General features: G+C 40.2%; 1 annotated feature.

The window, feature by feature from the left end:
• Positions 1,715-2,216: an enhancer, noted in NCBI's record as "NANOG hESC enhancer chr4:32911350-32911851 (GRCh37/hg19 assembly coordinates)". NCBI's record gives its function as "activates a minimal SCP1, AML or CMV promoter by ChIP-STARR-seq in naive H9 embryonic stem cells {active_cell/tissue: H9 hESC(naive)}" and the evidence as "EXISTENCE:reporter gene assay evidence [ECO:0000049][PMID:30033119]".

Raw genomic sequence — 5,362 nt, forward strand, 5'->3', positions numbered from 1 at the left:
GCCTGATAGTTTTTAGACTAATACTGTGAAGAATCAAACAGTACTTTTCTTTCCTGAACCAGATTGCATTTTATAGATCCACATGCTCTTCAACTACATTTGGATGTATTTATATATGAAGAAAAACACCTACACCCTTCCTTTATGCCTATATGTGAAGCTTTGAGTAATATTGATGAAGGAGAAACAACATGGCCAGGGTAAAAGAGGTAGAATAAGCTTTCCACTGATTACCTATGCCTCTCAAGGTGGCAGGAAACCTGTGCTCTTTTGCATTACTGAAATCTCACAAACTAGCCCAAAGCTCAGAGTGTGGTGAATCACCAAAACTATTTAAAAAACGATGTTGAGTTAGGTCATGTCATCTTGAGCAAAATGATCTGTATGAGTCTCATTTTGCCATTTCTATCAAAAAAAGAGATACTAATACTCACTTGTTTGGAAAATAAAATGTTGATTGGCACACATAATGGCTTTCAAATAGCTGGTACTTGATAAATTGAATTATCTGTGTTTTTATTTGAAATATTATTTCTAATTATCAAAAAATATTTTTTGCAAAAACAAATACTAGGCATCAGCAAACTGGAGGTAATGACAATTATTGGAAAAAAGAGTCTTTCATATTGAAATTACATTAGATATGTAGATAAGTGGGGACAATGCTAGGTTGCTGGCCCTGTCACCATATGCCTTCTCTTCTCTGTTGATGAAAAAAGTCAAACTCTGTAAAATATTTGAAGAGATTCGTGCTGAGCAAAATGTGGGAACTATGACCCATGAAACAGCCTCAGGAGGTCCTGAGAACATGTGTCCACAGTAGTTAGGTTACAGCTTGGTTTTATGTTTTAGGGAGACATAAGACAGTGCATGTGAGTTATATATTAGTTTGGTCCAGAAAGGCTGGACAACTTGAAGCCAGGGGGCTTCCAGGTCATAGGCAAATTCAAAGATTTCCTGATTGGTAATTGAGTGAAAGAGTTATTATCTAAACACCTGAAAATAATAGAATGGAGTGTCTGAATTAAGATAAGCATTGTGAACATCAAGGATCTTATTATGTAGATGAAGTCTCACAAGTGGCCACCATTAGAAGCACTCAAGGGCAAATATTTCCTATGCAAACCATTAAAAGATTCCAGAATCTAGAATAACCAGTAAGTAAAAAAAAATCTCAGCAAAATGCAAAACATTTCCTGTAAAAGAGACAGCTGTGCAGGGTAATTCTAAAATATGTCAGAGTGAATTCAGCACCTTCAACTAAAGTATCCAGGTTCTTGCATTGGGAATAAATAAGCAAGCAGCTTGACCCATGGGGATCAAGGAGAAGCAGCGGTGGGGCGATCATGGTCCACCCAGGATTGGCGTGGAACCAAGGGAACACCCACCCACAGCCAGGGGAGGTGGTGAGTGATTGTGTGACCCTGCCTGGGAAGCCAACCACACTTCTCCCATGGATCTCTGCAACCCGAGGATCACGAGATCCCCTTGTGAGCTCACACATCCAGGACTTTGGTTCTGATACATGGAGCTGTGTGGAATCCCAGCAGGGCAGCCACCCAGGCATGCAGAGACCAAAGAGTTTTACATATTCTGGCCCCCAGATCACTGCCAAGGCAGAAAATCCATTTGTATATATTCCTAGGAAGGGGACTGAATTTAGGGAACCAAGAAGCATCATTCTGTGGGCCCCATTTCCATGACACCTCATGGGTAGGAACCCACTGGCTTGGAATCTCAGCCAGACAGTGAGAGCAGGCTGAAGTCCACCTGAGATGGGACCAAGTTCCTTGGGGGAAGAGTGGCCGCCATCTCTGTGGTTCAGGGGACTCAGCTGTGCCAGCCTGCTGACTGTGCAGAGTGCAGATGGTCCACACCAGGAGGGGGCACCACAGCAGCACAGCTGCCTTGCTAGATCATGGCCAGACTGTTTCTTTAACCAGGGCCCCAAACCACTCCTCCTCACTGCCGGGGACCTTTGTTCTGGGACAAAGCTCTGATCTCTCCCTGGGAGGGAGCTCCTGAAGGGAGGGCAGCCACCATCTCTGACAGTCCATAGACTTAGCCATTCCAGCCTGCCAGCTGTGGAGACTATAGACAGATGGGAAAAAAGGGTCCCTCCCAGTGCAACATGCCTGCTCTACCAAGAAGCAGCCAGGTTGCTGCTTTGGGTCGGTCCCTGATCCCATCCCTTCTGAGTAGGTGAGATCTCCCAGCTGGGGTTCCAGCCACCTCCTGCAGGTGCCTGTGGGCGGGTGGCAGGTTGGTGCCCCCCAGGATGGATATTCCAGAGTTGGGGAGCTGGCTGCCCTCTTTGTCATTTTGTGGACTTCAGTGGTAATACCACCAGGTGCAAGAGAAGCCAAGGTGAATGGGGAATGGAGCAGACTCCAGCAAACCACAGCAGCCCTACAGTAGAATGGTCTGACTGTTAAAAGAAAAACAAACAGAAAACAACAACTACGACAAAAGACTCCCCAAAAACGCCACTCTAATTTCAGAAACCTCAAAGATCAAAAGTAGATAAGCCCACAAAGATGAGAACGAATCAACGCAAAAACTCTGAAAACTCAAAAAGCCAGAATGTTTCTTATCCTCCAAATGACCAAAACACCTCTCCAATAAGGGCACAGAACTGGGCTGAGGCAGAGACGGCTGAATTGATAGAAATAGACTTCAAAAGGTGGGTAATAATGAGCTTCACTGAGCTAAGTGAGAATGTTGTAACCCAGTGCAAAGAAGCTAAGAATCATGATAAAACAATAGAGGAGCTGAAAGCCAGAATAGTGAGTTTAGAGAAGAATATAACCAACCTGATGAAGTTGAAAAACACAACATGAGAAATGCACAATGAAATCACAAGTATTAATAGCATAATAGACCAAGTGAAGGAAATAATCTCAGAGCTTGAAGACTATCTTTGTGAAATAAGACAGGCAGACAAGAATAGAGAAAAAGAATGAAAAGGAATGAATAAAACCTGCAAGAATTATGGGATTATGTAAAGAGACTGAACCTATGACAGATTGGAATATCTGAAACAAATGGGGACAAAGGAACCAAGACGGGAAACATACTTCAGGATATCATCCAGGAGAACTTTCCCAACCTAGCAAGATGGGCCAACATTCAAATTCAGAAAATCCAGAGAACCCCGGTAAGATACTCTATGAGAAGATCAACTCCAAGACATACATAATCATCAGATTCTCCAATATCAAAACGAGAAAAAAAATGTTAAAGGCAGCCAGAGAGAAAGGCCAGGTCATCTACAAAGGGAAACCCATCAGACTAACAGTGGACTTCTCAGCAAAAATTCTACAAGCCAGAAGAGATTGGGGGCCAATATTGAACATTCTTAAAGAAAATAACTTTTAACTCAGAATTTCATATCTGGCCAAACTAAGCTTCATAAGTGAAGGAGAAATAAGATCCTTTTCAGACAAGCAAATGCTGAAGGAATTTGTCACCACCAGACCTGCCTGTCTTGCAAGAGCTCCTGAAGGAAGAATTAAATATGGAAAAGAAAAACTGTTACCAGCCTCTACAAAAACACATAGTGTCTCCCACTATTACTGTGTAGGAGTCTAAGTCCCTACCTAATGTAGATGGCGGGTTGATGGGTGCAGCAAACCACTATGGCACATGTATACCTGTGTAACAAACCTGCACGTTCTGCTCATGTATCCCAGAACTTAAAGTATAACAAAAAATAATAATAAAATAGAACTCAAGATTAAGAAATTCACTCAAAACCACACAACTACATGTAAATTGGACAACCTGCTCCTGAATGACTCTTGGGAAAATAATGAAATTAAGGCAGAAATTAAGAAGTTCTTTGAAACTAATGAGAACACAGAGACAATGTATCAGAAACTCTGGGATGCAGCTAAAGCAGTGTTAAGAAGGAAATTTATAGCACTAAATGCTCACAACAAAAAGCTAGAAAGATCTCAAGTGAACATCTCAACTAAAATAGAGAAGCAAGAACAATCAAACTCCGAACCTAGCAGAAGACAAGAAATAACCAAGATCAGAGCCAAACTGAAGGAAATAGAGACCTGAAAAACCCTTCAAAAAATCAATGAATCCAGAAGCAAATTTTTTGAAAAAAAAATAGTAAAATAGATAGACAGCTAGCTACACTAATGAAGAAAAAAAGAGAGAAGAATCAAACACCATCAGAAATAATAAGAATATTACCACTGACCCCATAGAAATATAAACGGCCATCAGATAATACTGTAAACACCTCTATGCATATAAACTAGAAAATCTAGAATAACTGGATAAACTCCTGAACACACACAGTCTCCCAAGATTGAACCAGATAGAAATTGTTTCTCTGAATAGACTAATAATGTGTTCTGAAATTGAGGCAGTAATAAATAGCCTACCAACCAAAAAAAAGCCCTGGACTAGACGGATTCATAGCAGAATTCTATCAGAGGTACAAAGAAGGGCTGTACCATTTCTACTGAAACAATTTCAATAAATTGAAGAGGAGAGATTGCCTGCTTACTCATTCTATGAAGCCAGCATCATTCTGATACCAAAATCTGGCAGAGACACAAAAAAACAACAAGAAAAAAACTTCAGGCCAATATTCTTGATGAACATCGATGCAAAAATCCTCAATAAAATACTGGCAAACTGAATCCAGCAGCATATCAAAAAGCTTATTCACCACAATCAAGTTGGCTTTATCCCTGGGATGCAAGGTTGGTTCAACTTAAGCAAATCAATAAATGTGATTCATCACATAAACAGAACTAAAGACAAAATCACATTATTATTTCAATAGACAGAGAAAAGGTTTTTGATAAAATTTGGCATCCCTTTATATTTAAAACTCTCAATAAAGTAGATATTGAAGGAACATACCTCAAAATAACAAGAGCTGTATATGACAAACCCACAGCCAGTATCATAATGAATGAGCAAAAGCTGGAAGCATTCCCACTGAAAAGCAGCACAAGACAAGGATGCCCTCTCTCACCACTCTTATTCAACATAGTATTGGAAGTTCTGACTAAGGCAATCAGGCAAGAGAAAAAGGTAAAGGGTATCCAAATAGGAAGTGAGGAAGTAAAATTATCTTTGTTTGCAGATGACATGATTCTATATCTAGTAAACCCCATTGTCTTGGCCCCAAAGATTCTTACGCTGATATGCAATTTTGTTAGTCTCAGAATATAAAATCAATATGCAAAAAATTGCTAGCATTCCTATACGCCAACAAGCATGCCAAGAGCCAAATCATGAATGAACTTCCATTCACAATTGCTATAAAAGAACAAAATACCAAAGAATACAACTAACAAGATAAGTGAAGAACCTCTTTAAGGAGGACTACAAA

The sequence above is a fragment of the Homo sapiens genome, chromosome 4 (assembly GCF_000001405.40).
Source record: "Homo sapiens chromosome 4, GRCh38.p14 Primary Assembly".
Lineage (NCBI taxonomy): Eukaryota > Metazoa > Chordata > Mammalia > Primates > Hominidae > Homo > Homo sapiens.